Genomic DNA, 19,377 nt, shown 5'->3' on the forward strand with positions numbered 1-19,377 from the left:
TCCCTCACAATCTTAAGATAAGGTCTTTCTGAGCATTAAAAAGTGACTGTGGGAGATATGTCAAATGAGTTTTCTGTGTGTGCTCTGAGAAATCTTTTTTTCAAAAAAGGATAGATGTACTTGTATAAGGAAAAGAGAAACTGAGCGCACTTTCAATATTTAAGTAAGTGTCTCTAACATGTTTTGCAACATAAAATGATGACCACTGTGTTGGTCATTACTTCTCTACTGCTAAAACAATGTTTTCTAAAATAATATACTCCTTAGAAAAAAATATAGTGCTTTGGGTGTGCACTGTTGTAATCCAAGGAATAGGAAATGTTTTGTAGTAAGTGCGATGGTGTTTGACATCGTGATTTATTAATTTATCACATTTGGTTTCATAGAAATAGAGTAAGCTACGTATTTGCTGTGCCGCAATTACCATGACATTACACTTGTATCTATTTCTGTTTCATAGATGTGTAGATATTGATATATACAGTGGAAGTATGGATTGTTTTGATAAGTTTCTAATGAAAGTACAGATATTTGTTGATTATTTATTAAGAAAGGTTGTTACTCATCCAAGCCCGTGGTTAGCTTTTCCCAAATTATCATGTGGTAGTAAGTAAAATGTAAAGAAATATACCCTCCCTTAACCCCACACCACCTGTTAGCACCTAGCCACCTTCCTTTACTTCTCAGCCGTACTTTTTGTATTTTTTTGTTGTAGTGGTAAAATATAAATAACATAAAATTTACCATTTTAACATTTGTAAGTGTACAATTCATTGGCATTGAATACATTGTGTGCAACCACCATCACCATCAGGACTTTTTCATCAACCCAAACAGAAACTACTCATTAAACAATAACTCCGCATCCTTCCACCCCAAAGCCCTGGTAACCACTATTCTACTTTCTGTCTCTGTGAATCTGTCTATTCTAGATACCTCATAGAAGTGGAATCGTACATTATTTGTCCTTTTGTGTCTGGCTTATTTTACTCAGCATATTTTCAAGATTCATTTGTGTTGTGGGATGTAGCAGAATGTCATTCCTTTCTAAGGCTGAGTAGCATTGTATGTATTATCCATTTATCTGTTACGGACATTTGACTATTGTGAATAATGCTGTTGTGAACATTGGTGGACAAGGAACTGAAAGTCCCTGCTTTTCATTCTTTTTGGCATAAACCTACAAGAGGAATTGCTGGGTCTTAACGGTAATTCTGTGTTTAATTTTTGGACGAACTGCCAGACTGTTTCCACAGCAGTTGTACTATTTTACATCCCCACCAGCGTTACACAAGGATTCCAATTTCTCTACATCCTTGCCAACATTTGCTATTTTCTATTTTTTTTTAATAATATCCATCCTAATGGGTGTCTTTTTTTTTTTTTAAAGGAATGGTTTAAACAGGTTACCTTCTTACTCCTCATTCATGCTTTAGTTGACTACATAAGGACCCCTCTCCCTATTGGCACCATTGAAATTGTTCAGGCAAAAATAACTGCCAGCGACACACTGCTTTAAGTAATGGACTTTTCCCAAGTTTTGTATTAATATTTCAGTATTTGGTAGTGCATCCTACTGCTAGTTTTTAAACTCTTCCCTTGTCATCTATCATCTCATTCTCTCTTGACAAATGTGAAAATGGAAGCTCAGAAATAAAACAAGAATTAAAACGAATAGTGATCCTTCAGGTAACAAGCTTCATTTATCATGAAAACATATATGTATGAAACATTCTGTTTTCTGATGTTATTGGATAAATTAGGTGATAACCAAATTCTAAGTTCCAAAAATTAAATATACTCTATCTAAGGACTTTAACATGGCAGACAATGGTGACAAGGTCAAGAACATGTTTTAGAGTCTTCTCCTTTGGTCGGTATTCAATGATACAACAGTTGAAAAGGCCAGAAGAAAGTTAACCTAGGATGGTGGTTTTTGAATATCTAACTTTCACTTCTTTCCCATCTTCCAGGAAGTTGGCTGGAATGTGATGACTTAAAAGGCCCATGTTCTGAAAGGCACAAGAAATTTGAAGTTCCTGCTTCAGAGATACATATTGTTATTTGGGAAAGAAAAATATCCCAAGTGACAGATAAAGAAGCTGCCTGCCTTCCACTTAAAAAGACTAATGACCAACACGCTCTCAGTAATGAGAAACCAGTATCTTTAACATCGTGTTCTGTGGGTGATGCTGCCTCAGCTGAAACAGCCTCAGTAACTCACCCTAAAGATATATCAGTTGCCCCTCGTACTCTTTCACAGGACACAGCTGTAACTCATGGAGATCATTTACTTTCAGGTCCAAAAGGTTTGGTTGACAATATTTTACCTCTGACACTTGAAGAAACTATCCAGAAAACAGCCTCAGTTTCACAGTTAAATTCTGAAGCTTTCCTGTTAGAAAATAAACCTGTAGCAGAAAATACAGGAATTCTCAAAACCAATACTTTGCTATCACAAGAATCACTAATGGCTTCTTCAGTATCAGCTCCATGTAATGAAAAGCTTATTCAAGACCAATTTGTGGACATAAGTTTTCCATCCCAAGTTGTAAATACAAACATGCAGTCAGTACAGCTGAATACAGAAGATACTGTAAATACTAAATCTGTGAATAATACTGATGCTACTGGTCTTATACAGGGAGTGAAGTCAGTAGAAATTGAGAAGGACGCTCAGTTAAAACAATTCCTTACACCAAAAACTGAACAATTAAAACCAGAACGTGTCACATCTCAGGTATCTAATTTGAAGAAAAAAGAAACTACAGCAGATTCTCAAACCACAACATCTAAGTCATTACAGAATCAGTCTCTGAAAGAAAATCAGAAGAAGCCATTTGTGGGAAGTTGGGTTAAAGGCTTAATAAGCAGGGGTGCTTCTTTTATGCCACTCTGTGTTTCAGCTCATAATAGAAACACTATAACTGATTTACAACCTTCAGTTAAAGGGGTAAATAATTTTGGTGGCTTTAAAACTAAAGGTATAAACCAGAAGGCCAGCCACGTATCCAAGAAAGCTCGTAAGAGTGCAAGTAAGCCTCCTCCCATCAGTAAGCCACCAGCAGGCCCTCCATCGTCTAATGGCACAGCTGCCCACCCACATGCTCATGCTGCTTCAGAAGTTTTGGAAAAGTCTGGAAGCACCTCATGTGGAGCTCAACTCAACCACAGTTCTTATGGGAATGGTATTTCTTCAGCAAACCATGAAGACTTGGTGGAAGGTCAGATTCATAAACTTCGTCTAAAACTTCGTAAAAAGCTAAAGGCAGAAAAGAAGAAATTAGCTGCTCTTATGTCTTCCCCGCAAAGCAGAACAGTTCGAAGTGAAAATCTAGAACAGGTGCCCCAGGATGGGTCTCCAAATGATTGTGAATCAATAGAGGACTTGTTAAATGAGCTACCATATCCAATTGATATTGCCAGTGAGTCTGCATGCACCACTGTTCCTGGTGTTTCCCTGTACAGTAGTCAAACTCATGAAGAAATTTTAGCGGAATTATTGTCTCCTACACCTGTTTCAACAGAGCTGTCAGAAAATGGGGAAGGTGACTTTAGGTATTTGGGAATGGGAGATAGTCATATCCCACCACCAGTACCAAGTGAATTCAATGATGTTTCCCAGAACACACATCTGAGACAGGACCATAATTATTGTAGCCCCACCAAGAAAAATCCATGTGAAGTTCAGCCAGACTCTCTGACAAATAATGCCTGCGTTAGAACATTAAACTTGGAGAGTCCGATGAAGACTGATATTTTCGATGAGTTTTTTTCCTCCTCAGCATTAAATGCTTTAGCAAATGACACATTAGACCTACCTCATTTCGATGAATATCTGTTTGAGAATTATTGAATTAATGCTTGTTAACTTTTTTCATATAATATTTATTATTATTAGAAGAACTTACAATGTGTTCAGGTAGTGTTTATACACTGGACTTGTGTAATTACTTGTGTAATAACCATGAACAAAATGCAAGGTTTAACCTTTGGTTCTGCCCATGAAGCATGTAATCTTTCTTACACATTAAAATCACTGAATGTGTTCTCCTTTTTGGTTTCATTTTGTTCTTGTGAGAGTATGAGGATTTCAAAATGTTAAAGATGAAAAGTGGCGTCTAGTTTCTGACAGTTTGTACAGTTGGATGCATTACATTTTTAGATTTGAAGTTTTGGTTATGTTAGTGTTATGAGTGATCTTTGTGGTGGTTTTCTTCCCCTGGAAACCTGTTGCTCGTGGCGCTTTGCCCACGGTGCCCGAGTTCTTGTCCTGTGTCCAGATATGCAGACAAATGAAGGGTGAAGAAGAAGAAGAGGAGCTTTATTTAGTGTTAGAACAGCTCAGAAGGAGACCCACAGTGAGCAGCTCCCCTGTGTCGGCGGGCAGGTCGTCCCTCAAGTGTTCAGCTCTCAGCAGAGAAAAGGCCCTGGAGAGGGTGACTCCTCTCAGCTCTCAGCAGAGAAGCAGCCCTGGAGAAGGTAGCTTCTGTTCGCAGGCAGATTGTCCAGAGGTCCTGCTGCTCTCAGACGGGGCCCTGGAGAGGATAGCTTCTATCCATAGGCAGGTTGTTCTGCCGTCTCTACAGGTCTCTGAAGCTCTTAGCAGAGAGGGTAGCTCCTCCCTGTTGCTGGTCGTCCCACCCTCTGCTCAGTTCTGGCTGAGCCTGGGGCATTTTACGGGCCTCGGGGGAGGAAGTGCATACTTACTGGCCTGGAAAAGGCACCAGTTCCCACTCCTACAGGTGGGACTGGCAGCCTGGCCCTCAGCCTTCAGGCCCTCCCTGTTCATGGCTTCCAGGCTTACCCCCCTGCTTTGATCTGAGAGCTGGTGCCAATAGCAGGGAGAAGCCAAGCTGCAGAGGCAAGCACTTCCGAGCCTGCAAAAGCAGGCCCCCAAAAGTGCAGGGATGCCTGAGTCTGCACCCGCACCCAGGAGGGTGGAGATCTTGCCTGCTCCAAGGCTGCAGCCGGAATGATAGCAGGCTGACTGGAGCACCTGCCACCATCATTAGTTCAAGAGTTTATGCAGATTTAAGTTGTATACGGTATATGAATGTGTGACAGTTTTCCTTATGGTTGTGTGGCCTTCTGTAAGAGCCTACGCCTGTTTGTTACACCGGTAGAGTGCTGTGGAATGTAAACTTTCCCTATGTCACTTATCTCCTTTATCTCTCCATACAGAGGAGGGCAAGAAACCTTGTTACTTGAACTTTAGTAATGTTAAGTGATCAATAAATCTATAAATAAATGATAGCAGAAAAAAGTTACCTGTTTTTGTGATGATGTACAAACTTTACATGTTATCACAAATACCATCTTTCTTCCCAAGACATTTACTTCTGTAACCAAAGTGGGACACCATCTAACAGTTCTGTTTTGGGAGAGAGTAATAACCAGTGCTTGTGAGGCTTGTTAGATGTTGGTTGTGATATATGAGATAGATGTTATTTCATTTAGACCTCAACATTCCTGTGCGTGAGATACTTTTATCACATCTTACAGATAAGGAGACTGTACTCATTCAGTTGTGGAGCTGAGATTGAGTAGAGTGGCTATTACAGCAGTTGAGTGCTGAGCTTATCAATATATGTTCCACTCCTCAGGCTTCATTTAAAGTAGGATGCCCAAACAGCACCACTGCCGTAGAGATTTGAGTTAACAGCAGTACTTACTGAGGTTTAAGGCTGGCAGCCAGTGTCCTTGCAGTAAAATTATTTGCTAGGGACTCAGTACTTCATAATCTATTTGTCAGATTTACTCCTAAGCTTCTGTGTTGTTTTATTTTTTTTCTGACAAAAGTAGTGCATATTGTCAAGGAAAAACTAGGAAAATACCAAAAAAAAAGATTTTTGACCATGCATTTTAATACTTAGTGACTACAAACATTTTCCTATTTTATGCATATAGATTTTAAATAAACGTGAGATCCTATTGTATCTGTTTTAATGGATAAACATTGTTTCACTGTTTTAAGATTCTGAGGTGATTTATACTGTCTTGCCATTGTTAATTGCAGCAGTTAGCCTTGTTGATAAATTTTTGCATGGATCCAAGTTTTGTTTTCCAGGAGTGGAGTTGCTTGGTCAAAGGAAATGCACATTTAAGGTTTTTTGGTGATTGCATGACTGACTTCCCTGGGCCCTCGCCAACACTAGGTAGTAGTATTGGGAGGAAGGGGGGAACCAATCCTGGGTGCTCCAAGATTACTAGTGAGCCTGAACATTTTCTATAACTATTGTCCACTTGAGTTGTTGTTTTGTTTTTTTTTTGGTGGAGGCGGGGGTGGGTTTAAGAATTGCTTATCCTTTGCTTGTACTAATTATCTTTTCAACAAATATTTCTAGATTACTGCTAAGGACCAAGCACTGTTATCAGCCTGAGATAAGGCAGCACACTAGAAGGAAATCCTTGCTCCTTTTGAGTTTGCCTTCCAAACATGGAGATCAATATATAATGTTAGGTAGTAATAGGAGATACATGCAGTTGATTCATGTCATTTGTAGTAGTTATGGTCAATAAAGTTGCCTTGAACACTGAATTAGTATAAACTGAAATACTGTTCCTAGGGGAAATAGGTTCCTGCTAGCCTGTGGTCATGAGATTTTTGTCAAACAATCACTATATAACCTTTTCTGTTTCTGTTTAAAGACATGTTATTTGATCTATATGGTTGATTCTTTACATTAACATGGCCAACAGCACTGTAACTCAGCCTGAACGAAGCTTATCTGACACATGGTGTTCTCCATAAGGCACATCATAGCTTTCTGTGCTTAGGAACACTAGACGGCACTTCAGCACTGCACTTGAGGACGTTTTAAACAGTGAAATCAACAAAAAGCACAAAAAAATGCAACAATAGGCTGGGCAAGGTGGCTCACGCCTGTAATCCCATCACTTAGGGAGGCCGAGGCGGGCGGATCACGAGGTCAGGAGATCAAGACCATCCTGGCTAACACGGTGAAACCCCGTCTCTACTAAAAATACAAAGAATTAGCCGGGCGAGGTGGCAGGCGCCTGTAGTCCCAGCTACTCGGGAGGCTGAGGCAAGAGAATGGTGTGAACCTGGGAGGCGGAGCTTGAAGTGAGCCGAGATTGCGCCACTGCACTCCAGCCTGGGCGACAGAGCGAGACTGCGTCTCAAAAAAAAAAAAAAAGGAACAATAACAAAGACACTAGTCCCCCAAAAATACACTTGTTTACAGTGTGAACTGAAAGAGGAAGGTGGAGTATTGACTTGTTTGACCTCAGCTGGAAATGTGCACGTCCTGTGACTCAAATTTTTCTCTGTTCTGTGCATGCATGTCCACGAATAACCACAAGAAGCACTGAAAGCATTGATTTTTAGGGTTACAAATTAATTTTAGCAAGTAAATGAATTCACAAATACGGAATCTGTGAGTAATGAGGACTGATTCTTTTTTTTTTTGGAGATGGAGTTTCACTCTTGTAGCCTAGGCTGGAGTGCAATGGCATGATCTCGGCTCACTGCAACCTCCGCCTCCCGGGTTCAGCCTCCACCTCCCGGGTTCAAGCGATTCTCCTGCCTCAGCCTCCCGAATAGCTGGGATTACAGGCTTGCACCACCATGCCCGGCTAATTTTTGTATTTTTAGTACAGACGGGGTTTCACCATGTTGGCCAGGCTAGCCTCGAACTCCTGACCTCAGGCAATCCACCCACCTCAGCCTCTCAAAGTGCTGGGATTACAGGCGTGAGCCACCGCGCCCGGCCGAGGACTGATTCTTATGTCAGATGGCACTAAATGCTATGGAGAAGAGGAGTGGATGAGAGGGAGAAGTATTTTAGACCAGGTAGACTTGGAAGGTTTCTTGGAGGTGGGTGATGTTTGAGAAGAGGCTTCAATAAAGTTAGGGAGCTCGCCATGTGATTGCAGGAAGAGCGTTCCAGGAGAACAAAAGTCATGAAGAGTGAGTGCTAGGCATGTGTCTGGTCTGTTTGGGCTGCTATAACAAAATACCTTAGACTGGGTAAAATGTATAAATAATAGAAGTGTATTGCTTATAGTTCTAGAAGCTGGGAAGTCCAAGATCAAGGTATCAGCACATTCTGGTGAAAGCTGCTCTGCTTCATGGCTGGTTCTCTCACTGTCCTCACATGGCATAAGAGGGGCACAGAGCCCTCAACCGTCTCTCCAGTGGCCCCATCTCTTAGTACTGTTGGATTGGGGATTTAGACTTCACTAATTTTGGGGGGACACAAACATTGAGACCACAGCAGCATGACTGAGGATAAGCAAGAGGCCAGTGTGGTTGAGCAGAGTGATCAGTGAAGGAGAGTTAGGACATGAGTAAAGAGGCTAGCAGACACCAGATCTCATATGGCTTTGTAGGCCATAGTGAGGACTTTGTTTAAGCTGAGAATAATAGATAACCTCAGGAAAGTTTCAGGCAAGAGGGTAACATGATCTGATCTGGGTTTTAAAAGGATCACTGAAGTGGGGAGACTGTCTACAGATGGTCTGAATAGGAGTCCTAGTCTATTACAATCTCCTTGGAGTTTAGGGTGGTAACTGGAGGTGTTCAAGAGTAGTTGGATTACTGTTGGATTTCAAAAGTAGAGCCAACACGATATGTGCATTGGCTGTGAGGTAGAAGAGGAGTCAAAATGAACTCCAGGTTTTATTGACTGAGCAATTGTGCCATTTCCTGAGATGGGTCAGATTTGGGAAGGAAAGAATTTAAAGGGGATAAGATAATCCCATTAGGAGTGTGTTAAGTGTGAGATTCCTATTAGACTTTCGAGTGGAGATGATTTAATAGGAAGATAGATCTGCAACACTGGAGCTCAGCGGAGAGGGACACCCTGGAGATAGCCGTTTGGGAATTAGGAATGTGTGGATCATGTTATAGGATGGGGTCATTTAGGGACTTAAAACAGCTCTGAAGAACAAAAATGGTGCCTTGATCTTGGACTTCCTGGTTTATAGAACTGTGAGCAATATATATATATTTTTTTCAAGACAGAGTCTTGCTCCGTCATCCAGGCTGGAGTGCAGTCGCACCATCTCGGCTCACTGCAACCTCCACTTCCTGGTTCAAGCAATTCTGGTGCCTAAGCCTCCCAAGTGGTTGGGACTATAGGTGTATGACACCATGCCCGACTAATTTTTGTATTTTTTTGTAGAGACAGGGTTTTGCCATGTTGGCCAGGCTGGTCTCAAACTCCTGACCTCAAGTGATCTGCCTGCCTTGGCCTCCCAAAGTGCTTGGATTATAGGCGTGAGCCACCATGCCCAGACTAAATTTCTAACATTTATAAATTATCCAGTCTAAGATATTTTGTGATAGCAGCCCAAGCAGACCAAGGCAAAGGCCAAGCACACTTGCTCCTCCTGACTTTTGCTCTTCCTGGAATGTTCTTCCTTTAGTCACATGGTTGCCTGCCTAGCTTCATTCAATAGGAGTGTGGTGCCCTGAAAATACAAGGAAGAATGCTTTTCTTTTTTTTAAAAGGAAGGGATGATTATCTGTCAGATGCTGCTGAAAAAGAGTAATAGAGTAATTGGCCACTGGCTCTGGCAATAGGGAAGTTAGCTCTGCTAACTCCACATGAACAGTTTCACATGAACAAGTGTGAGTGGGCTCAAGAGAAGGGATGGTGAGAAAGTGGAGCTATGGACTCACTCTTGAAACATTTTCTGGTGCCTCGTAGGGCAATGTGAGGTCAAGGTTTTTGTTACTGTTCTGAAGATGGGAGAGGCTGACACATGGATGTTGTAGGTGAGAGAAGGGGCGCTTGCGGGGGCAAACTTCTCCAGGGATGGGATTCCAGTGTCTAAGAGGAGGCGGTGTGACCCTAAGAGCTAGAAAAATTATTTTATTAATAGGAAAGACAAAGTACTTAGGCTCAGATGCTAAGAGATTTGCTGATAAAAGAATGAGAACGGTCTCTTCTGATTATTTTCTTGGGGAAATAAATAGATCATCAGCTGAGGGTGTGAGGGGAGAAGGAGTTGAACATGGAGGAAGACAGGTGTGAAATATTGGTCTCAGAATGGAGAGCGAATTGAATAGGGACATGCAGTGGGCTTGCTAAGCTGTGCGGAGAGCCCGTGGGAAGTTTATGGTCATCAATTTAATGGCGACCAGCCAAGATGGTGGTTTATTTTTCTCCAGTTGTATTTAACTGCTCAGGTGCAGGACAGAGAGACTAAGTGTGAAGTTAATTTCAGCCAACGTAGAGGAATTGTCAGGCAGATGGGACAAGGAGATAGAGGAGAAAAGGAATAAGGCTTCCTGCAAGGGTAATGATTGTAGGGATGGATAAGTAAGGAACACAGGAAGTGGCTGTCTGCTGAGTGGTGGCAGAGCTCAGTGGGTCAGAGCAAGGTTCAAAGAATGGCAGAGAGGCACTTGTGGAGGAAGTAAGCTGGCTAGAAAGTAGTGTGCTTGAAATTAAGCTTCTGGAGATAGCAAGGTTACAGGTGATGACAAAGTCTGAGTATGACAAGGAAACTGCAGGGCCAGAGTTGGCAAGAATTCATGAAAAATGAGGAGAAAGAGGCACCAAGAGGCTGGGATAGCACATGGATTGTCTCTGTGTGAGGCAAAGTCATCTAAATGGCAGCAGTGGCCCTAGCAGAAAGAAATATACAGTGAGCCGGAGCAAAAATCCTCAAGGACAGGCAGAACGCCATGAAAACGGCAGATGACAGCCAAAGGAGCAGGGGCAGGGGCTCAGTCCAAAGTGTTTCAGAGTCACTGGAGGGTTGAGTGGGAAGGGGAGGGAGTGGCTGAAATGGCAACAAGGAAGAACCTCTCTCATCTCCAGGCCCAAAAGTATGTGGAATGCGGGAGATAAGACAGCCACCACTGGCCAGGGCTGTAAAGGGACATTCAGCGAATATTCAGGTTCCATTTAGCACGACAGCAGGGAAGGGACTGTTGGCAGAAAAAAACTGGGGCAGTGGGATTAAAGACAGACCACACATTCCAAAAGGCACCGTGGGAGGGTCAGGGGGCGAGGTTAGGTCTAGGCTTCAGTGTCCTGGGAGACTCAGTCTTCACAGGGTGACAGCGATCAAGAGTGCAGCTTAGGCTGGGTGCAGTGGCTCATGCCTGTAGTCCCAGCACTTTGGGAGGCCGAGACGGGAGGATTGCTTGAAGCCAGGAGTTTGAGACCAGTCTGACCAACATGGCAAAACCCCATCTCTACTAAAAATACAAAAATCAACTGGGCATGGTGGCGTGTGCCTGTAGTCCCAGCTACTTGAGAGGCTGAGGCAAGAGAATCACTTGAACCTGGGAAGCAGAGGTTGCAGTGAGCTGAGATCGTGCCACTGCACTCCAACCTGGGCAACAGAGTGAGACCCTGTCTCAAAAACAACAACAACAAAAAAGAAAAGAGTACAACTTATGAAGGGGTCTCCTGGGGAGAGGGTTTTTGGGATTCTCCTGCCTCTCAAAGTGCTGGGATTATGGGCGTGAGCCACCACACCCAGCCGAGGGAGGCTGAGTTCTAATTGTTGTATCTCTCTTGGGATTGGCCTCCTGGGCAGTTTAAAAGACAAGGCAAGGAATCTTTTGGAGAAAGAGACTGGGGGCAAGGTGTGTCTGAACAAGAAGTGTGAGAAGCTCTGTGGGCTCCCTTCAGACTTCCAGTCGTTGAATTGGGATCTCATTTATATCAGCTCTAGGTGTAACGATATTAAATCTTCTCTGTCATTTGGCAATTTTGGTTTATGCTTGATCATCATTTTTAATGTTTCGACATGTAGAAGTTTAACATTATTTTACATTCTTTTCCTTCTGGCATCATGTTTTAGCAAGATTGTTTCCACCAAAAGAATATATATATCTTCTAATGAAACTACGTTTCTTTTTTTTTTTTCCTTTGCTTTCTCTTTTGGTATATGAATCTTTGATTATTTGTAATGTATTTTGATGTGTAACACTGAAGTTTCTATTTTGTACTATTTTTTTCCCCAAACAGTAAACTTATTGTTCAAATACTTATTGAACAACCTTCACTATTCTTTAACCATTTAGAATACGCCATTCACATATCTTTCATACTACATTTAATAACATTTTTTAATTAAAAAATATTCTACTGATTTGTTTATTTTGAGACCAGGTTATGAAACTGGCTAATTTTTGTATTTTTGTTAAATACCGAAATTCACTGTGTTGCCAAGGCTGGTCTCGAACTCCTGGGCTCAAGCAATCTGCCCACCTTGGCGTCTCAAAGTGCTGGGATTACAGGTGTGAGCCGCTACACCCGGCCACACCCGGCCAACACATATTATTTGTTATTACATTTAATTCCCACAGTACATTGAAATTATCAGGGAAAAGTTTTCAGTGAAACATTATTGAACGCCACATTAAAAGTGTAAATTACAAAGATTTAATGCCAATTTTTCAGAAGAAAAAAGACCAGGAGGAAGGTCTATGAAGTTTTAGCCAGTCTCTCATCCACCTACCATTTCACGATCATGCACTGTGTAAGTCAGGAAAAGAGTAAGAAAAGTGAAAGATACAATTGATTAGAGAGTTTTGCTGGATACTATAGATGAAAAGAACACAAAATGGAACAGCCTCTTCAAGCTTAGAGTCAACGGCTGTAGTCCCAAAGACTGTAGTCAGAGGCGGTAGGGCCAAAAGACATGACTTATGGCATTGGAGGAAGAGGATGCTTTGGGAGTTCATGGTAGAAGAGGCGGAAAAAATCTGGTGGATTAAAGAAAGCATCCCAAAGTGACATTAAACTAATGACTAAATTCTGAGCTGTTTTCAGGGGCAAAGCCTGTTTGGGCACCCCTGCCACACTTAAAGAGTCACCTAGGTATGGTTCGTGGGCTCTGAACAGGCCTGCTCAGTGAACATATTTGTGACTGTTTCTCCGGCCCTTTTAGCTGTATTGAGTAAAATTTAAAGAGACCATTGTTTTGGCCTAAGCTCCTGCCCTAGGCCCAAAGAACAGACCAAACCTGAATGGCTTCACTTGTCCTAGGTGCTGTGTACTCAAACTGAACTTTGAAACAGGTCGGTTTTTCAAAAAAAGCAAAAGATTCACAGCAACCAATTAGAAGAGGCCCGGTCAACCTGAGCCAGCATGATGAGGCTCTTCTGCTTTAATCCTACAAGGAAAGAAACTTTGAAATGACCAATCTGCTTTCATTCTTGGTTTCTGCTTTCTTTGGTCTATTTCTGCCTGTAAAACCTATCTCCTCTGCTCAGCTCATTGAAGTACCCTTCTATTTATAGATGGGATGCTGCCCGACTCATGTATCGCTAGTAAAAGCCAATTAAATTATTACACTCGATTTGTTGGAATTTTGCTATTTTGACAGCTTTTCAAAAACACCAGTAGGTTCACATCCCTAATTCCCCAGCCAGTGTTCCCTCAAGGAACCATGGAAGAAGCAAAGGTGGCTGAAAGGCGCCTCAGGATGCTTCTAAGCACGGCACATCCATGAAAAGGCACTTACTAATATTTGCAGGATAGCAAAGCACTGCAGTGACGATAAATCTAGTATTGGAGAAGTTCAAAATAATCAGTAGATTAACACAGAAGCCAGAGCTTATAGGGAGAAAAGGAACCCTATGAAATACTTCAAATCCGAAAACGAACATGCATTTCCTGTTTAGTTAGTGCAGGTACGTAAAAGCTTGGTAAAGTACCCTTCTTGCCAGCTTTCTCTTTCTTACAAGCCTTTTCACTGGGCTGGGAGGCTGATATTATCTAAATATGCTGAGGAGGTTCAAGTATCTCCACAACTCACCTCAGAGTGAATGCTCCCCTCGGCCTTAAGGCAATATAAACCAGCCCTGTTTAGCAGGATAGCAAAATGTTTGCGGTTGTAAACTGGTGTCCCATTGGCTGTGGCGCTTGTGGTGTAAAGAATCCCTGTGCTTGGTAATTAATAGAGAAATTCTATATTTTAAACTTCAGTTGTATATTGGCTCTTATCCATGGCAGATTTTCACGTATGTGTTATTTTTTTATTTATTCAGAGCCGGAGTCTCGCTTTGTCGCCCAGGCTGGAGTGCAGTGGCGCGATCTTGGCTCATTGCAGCCTCTGCCTCTTGGGCTCAAGCAATTCTTCTGCCTCAGCCTCCCTAGTAGCTGGGACTACAGGTGCATGCCACCACGCCCGGCTAATTTTTTGTATTTTAGTAGAGATGGGGTTTCACCGTGTTGCTCAGGCTGGTCTTGAATTTCTGAGCTCAGGCAATCCGCCCGCCTCGGCCTCCCAAAGTGCTGGGATTATAGGTGTGAGCCATCATGCTCGGCCCTATGTGATATTTATTACAATGAATTCCAATGATCAGACCTATACTCAAGTATAAGTGAATATATCATTCAATGAAGTATAAATGATCATTATGTTCATATTCACACATACAATAATGTACTCAAGTTTATTGCTAAGGTAATTCAGAATCTCCTTATTTTGAAGTGTGCATTTGATATACCTGTTTGGGAATAACTAGTTTCTTATCTTTGACAGAAAATAATTTTGTTGTTTTGTTTTTACTAAAAAAGCATGGTGAAAAATGGCTCCATTTCTAAGAGAGGTAACTAAAATATCGCAATTTGCTGGGTGTCATTAAAGTAACTCACAAGGGAAAAAATGCAAATTGGTATCTGCTGATGGAGTAAATCTCCGCAGAAGTGATGACCCTGAAAGGATCAATATATTAAAGCCCCTCCCAGCTGGTCATTCCAGATTGCAACAATAAAGCATTAAGTGTTAAAACCTCAAGGCAGCTTTTTTTTTTTTTTTTTGTCTCAAGTCCTTTATTATTAATTTTATAGACCTACTTAATTACTAAGCCAAAAAAAATCAAACTTGTTTCTCTTTGTGACTTGTCAATAGTATTAAACTATTCTGGTTTTTTATTTTTGTGTTACCTTAAAGTCTCCAGTTTAGTAATTTTTCTGTACCTAAACACTTCGGATTTGACATGCTTTGTGGCCTTTATCAGTAGTTAGAATGTAAATCCAATAAATAAAGTAAAAGCCAGGTCTTCAAAACCTGGGGGCCAAGAACTCTGTTTTAGAGGGCCTGTGACTCTCTTGGACACTGGACAAAATCTCATCTCTAAATATGGATATTTTAGGGAGAGGGTCTTTAGGCTGTCATTTGGATTTTCACAGGGCTCCATGTATCCATAAGGTAGTCTCTTGGGAAGTTTGACTTCAATAAATGAAGTTTAACTTAAACCTAAAATGAAATTTAACTGAAAAACAAAATCCAATGAAAGATGCTTTCTTATGCAAAAACAAACAAACAAAAAAAAAACAAAAAAACCCCAAAAAACCCAAAGCCAAAGATTGTTTCTGAAATTAGGTTCTAGGTTCCAGAGCAACTCCATGGTGGGGAATCAGCCACATGTAAAGTAAGCTAAGAGTTTGGACAATTTGTAATATTTATTCCTAGGTTTCTTTAAGACCCTTTCAGATTTTGAATTCCTATTAGTAGCATCAGCCAGGTTCTAAATGTAGGCATCACCATAGACACTTCCCCACTGCTGCAGTCCCCAACACTTGCCCAATTTTCCCTTGAATTGCACCCATGCTGCCTTCTCCAGGCCTATTTGAACCCAGAACCTCGTTGTGCCTCGTTTGAAATATAATTTCCTCCTAACTAGTCTCTGATCTACTATTTCCCCTACATTGCTGCCACACTAATCACCTAAAATAGATTTCATTCTACCCTGAAACAGAAATCTCTAATAAGTTACTCCCTTCCCTTACGGGGTAAAGTTAGCCACATCCTAGGTATTCAAGGACCTTCCAGGAGCTAAGAACATTTCCCCTGCACCTTCTTGAAGTACACTTGTCCTATGTACTGGTTATGTTCATTTCTTACCCTCGCTCTCGTTTTGTCTGGAATTTTCCTTGGCCTTAAATGCCTCTCACCTGCCTGCCCACATCTCTCAGGGTTGTTTCAAATCCTCAATGAAGGCTCACAGCCCCAGTCTATGTTGGCCACTTACTTCGTGGCCTGGGAACATTTTTCTTTGGCTGACTTGCTGACACTCCATCAGATGCATTTTTATCTGGTTGTCCATCTGTGAACCATACCCTGAGAAGGCAGAGAGTGCCTCTGCACTGAACATGTGCTAGGGGACAGGTCTGTGCTAGAGGGGCAAGCACTGGGAATGAAGAACTGGTCCCTACTCCCAAGGAGTTCATATCTCAGTGGAGGTGACAAGCAACTCACTGTTTCCGGGGGTTGTGGTGACTGCTGGGAGAAGGGGTGTCTATATTAGATCGAAGCAGCATCAGGGGAGGTTCCCTGAGAAGGTGATGCCTCAGCGGATGTCTCCCAGCTAAGTGGGGTGGAGGTGGAGAAGGGCAGAGCAGGGAGAGGATCTAGGTGGGGCGTGTAAGTCTGCATGGGTAACTCAGGGAACCCTTGGTAACTGCATGTAACTGTGTGAAGCTTTCATGAAGGAACATGGTAGGAGACTAGGGTATGGACTATAGAAGCCCTTTTGCTAAGCTCAAGAATTTGAGGCCGGGAGCGGTGGCTCACGCCTGAAATCCCAGCACTTTGGGAGGCCAAGGCGGGCGGATCACGAGGTCAGGAGATCGAGACCATCCTGGCTAACATGGTGAAACCCCGTCTCTACTAAAAAAAAAGTACAAAAAATTAGCGGGGCGTGGTGGCGGGCGCCCGTAGTCCCAGCTACTCAGGGAGCTGAGGCAGGAGAATGGCATGAACCCGGGAGGCGGAGCTTGCAGTGGGCGGAGACTGTGCCACTGCACTCCAGCCTGGGCAACAGTGCAAGACTCCATCTGAAAACAACAACAACAACAAAAAATTTGAAGTGTATCTTGAAGGAAATCCCTTGGAGCCTAAAAATGATCATTGATAACAGAAAATGATCTCTGCTCTCGCCTAGGGTAATATATTCAGCTTCAAAGTGGAAGGGCATGTTTTCCAAGGGCATGTTTTCTAAGTCCCTGTAATTGTAGTGATAGCAAATATATGCCCTGCATCTTGAAATGTAAGACTAGGTTTGAACAGTATATAAATTATCTTATGATCTAATTTCCCCTCATTTTGTGGTTTCTACTATAAGCTACCCAGAAGTGTAGACAGGACGTTTGGAATTTGATGGGCATCGGAAAGATTCCTACCTAAGAACATTTTTTTTTTTTTTTTTTTTTCTGAGAAGGAGCCTTGCTCTGTCACCCAGGCTGGAGTGCAGTGGCACGATCTCAGCTTACTGCAACCTCCACCTCTCAGGTTCAAGTGATTCTCCTGCCTCAGCCTCCTGAGTAGCTGGGACTACAGGTGTGCACCATCATGCCTAGTTAATTTTTATATTTTTAATAAAGGCAGGATTTCACTATGTTAGCCAGGCTGGTCTTGAACTCCTGACCCCATGATCTGCCCACCTTGGCCTCCCAAAGTGCTGGGATTACAGGTGTGAGCCACTGCGCCCGGCCTCTAAGAAAATTTTTGAGAGCTACTTGTTCTGTTGCCTGGAATTCCACCGTAAGTACGACGTTGTGTCTCCTTCTCCAGGGCTACTAACTAAACAACAGAGGGTATTGTGTTATCGACAATTATTTGATTGATAACTATCAGCAAACATTTGCCAAGGCATTCCTTTAAAGATAGCCTAGTGACTCTATTAACTACTCCTTCTTCCAGGCTTCTAAGTTCTGTTGGAGGTAAGTAGATCCCAGAGATAAAGCACCTACCATAGGACCTGAATCTTGGTAGAAATAAATTATATCATCATGTTATCATATTATCATGTGTTTTTCTATCTTTAAAGTCTTATGTGAATATTCTGCTTGAAAAATATGTGTCCTCTGTTAGACCAGAGTTGAAAATATGTTATTCAAGAACTTGTAACAGGAACCCGCACAATTTCTGCTGGAGTTTAATTTCAGGGTTAATTCTGTCAGCAATCTAAGGTAAACATTAACATTTTTCCCTAGATTCAAGTCCGTTGTCCAAAAGCTGTAACAGAACTTAACTGAATAAATAGTTTCTTAAGATGGTAAGCTTCCATATGCTTATAATGACTCCTCTACACGTTTTCATCTGGAAGGCTGCTCATGCTTTTGGAAGCAAAGAAGACAATCTTAAATAACTACATTTGCTTTTTGGTGGTGCCAGATTTTTCTGAGAAACACCAATGGAATTTATAAATTCACCAGTCAATGGGCAATTGAGTTGCTGTTTTGCTATTACCACTGCCGTTTGTGAGCATTGTTGGGAAGGTGTCTTGAAGCACACGTGCAAGTTTCCCTTGGATAAGTAGTAGGAATAGAATTGCCAAACCATGGCTTCCAGTGCAGACACAGTCTCTCCCTTGGGCCCAGCCACTAGGCACCACACATTAAGAGGATATTGTCTGTCCATGTCCTAGAAACGTTGTAGCATCATGCTCCTATTCGATTAAAAATCTCATTATTAAAATGAACCATCGGGTAAATGTTGTCTCGGGAAAAGAAGCACTGACCGTCCCTGGGTGGGCTCGAACCACCAACCTTTCGGTTAACAGCCGAACGCGCTAACCGATTGCGCCACAGAGACCCAGTTACTCAGGCCGCGCTGCGGTGTGTACAGATTTCCGCGGCGCCGGCAGCCGCTCTAGCCACCCTGGGCGTCGCCACCCCAGGCGTTGCCACCCCAGGCACGGGCTGAGAAGTCGCGGGGCGCGCCGAGGAGGCAGCGGAAGCGGCCGAGGTGCCCAGCGGCCGCCGCGGGGGGAGAGGCTGTGCCCCGGCGCGCGGGAGGGGGCGGGCGAGGCCGCGTGACTCCGGGCTTCTCTGGGGACGAAGCGCGCCCCTCGTGGCGGCAGCGGCCAGTGGTCCGCAGTCGGCCCGGACTCGGGGTAGGAAAGATCCTCTCAGCAATGGCTGCGCGCCATGCGTGCTCTGCGGCGGGGACCGTGCCGGCCGGGCGCGCCACCAGTAACCAGGGACCCAGGGGAGAACCTGCCAAGGGGAATAGGTCGCACGGAGAGAATACGACACGCTTGGAGGGAAGAACCACGTGCTGTACAGGTTTAAAGGATGGAGAGTCACGTGCGCTTAGGTCCCAAACTTAAGGGACCTAACCCTTTTTCTGGGTTGCCGCTATTGCCCCTTCTCCTTAGACAGTTTTTCATCTCATCACCTCTCACCCCGTAAAATGCAACGAACATAGATAGGCTGTGTATCAATGTAGACTGTATGTATATCTGTGCTTCGTACATAAAAAGAATATGATTTTTGCCACCTTCTAAGAACCAATTTGCACCCCATTTTGAGGCATATGGCCTCTGTTGAGATTGCATAGTTTAGGGGACATCAAAAAAGCCTTATAGAGGGACTGGCAATTAAGATAGCCTTTCAGTTTGAAATGGCCATTGAAGGCTTCTCCCTTTCCCTG

General features: G+C 42.9%; 1 protein-coding gene and 1 non-coding gene across 14 annotated transcripts in view, besides 3 other annotated features; one reads left to right on the plus strand and one right to left on the minus strand.

The window, feature by feature from the left end:
- Window positions 1-5,266, plus strand: part of USPL1 (ubiquitin specific peptidase like 1) — a 42,847-nt gene extending 37,581 nt beyond the window's left edge. For all 13 annotated transcript variants that reach the window (XM_047430027.1, XM_047430028.1, XM_047430031.1 and 10 more), the window contains one exon: window positions 1,974-5,266. In XM_047430027.1, the coding sequence (XP_047285983.1) occupies window positions 1,974-3,856 (1,883 nt within the window). In that variant the 3' untranslated portion in view covers window positions 3,857-5,266. The remainder of the gene's footprint in view (window positions 1-1,973) is intronic.
- Window positions 3,802-4,561: an enhancer, noted in NCBI's record as "H3K27ac-H3K4me1 hESC enhancer chr13:31233439-31234198 (GRCh37/hg19 assembly coordinates)". NCBI's record gives its function as "activates a minimal SCP1, AML or CMV promoter by ChIP-STARR-seq in naive H9 embryonic stem cells {active_cell/tissue: H9 hESC(naive)}" and the evidence as "EXISTENCE:reporter gene assay evidence [ECO:0000049][PMID:30033119]".
- Window positions 4,302-4,421: an enhancer, noted in NCBI's record as "active region_7543". NCBI's record gives its function as "activates an Ori minimal core promoter by ATAC-STARR-seq in GM12878 lymphoblastoid cells {active_cell/tissue: GM12878}" and the evidence as "EXISTENCE:reporter gene assay evidence [ECO:0000049][PMID:35858748]".
- Window positions 18,387-18,896: a silencer, noted in NCBI's record as "silent region_5236". NCBI's record gives its function as "represses an Ori minimal core promoter by ATAC-STARR-seq in GM12878 lymphoblastoid cells {active_cell/tissue: GM12878}" and the evidence as "EXISTENCE:reporter gene assay evidence [ECO:0000049][PMID:35858748]".
- On the minus strand, window positions 18,464-18,537 carry TRN-GTT2-4 (tRNA-Asn (anticodon GTT) 2-4). Its single transcript has one exon. It is a non-coding gene; the product is annotated as a tRNA-Asn (tRNA).

The sequence above is a fragment of the Homo sapiens genome, chromosome 13 (assembly GCF_000001405.40).
Source record: "Homo sapiens chromosome 13, GRCh38.p14 Primary Assembly".
In the NCBI taxonomy this organism is placed as follows: domain Eukaryota; kingdom Metazoa; phylum Chordata; class Mammalia; order Primates; family Hominidae; genus Homo; species Homo sapiens.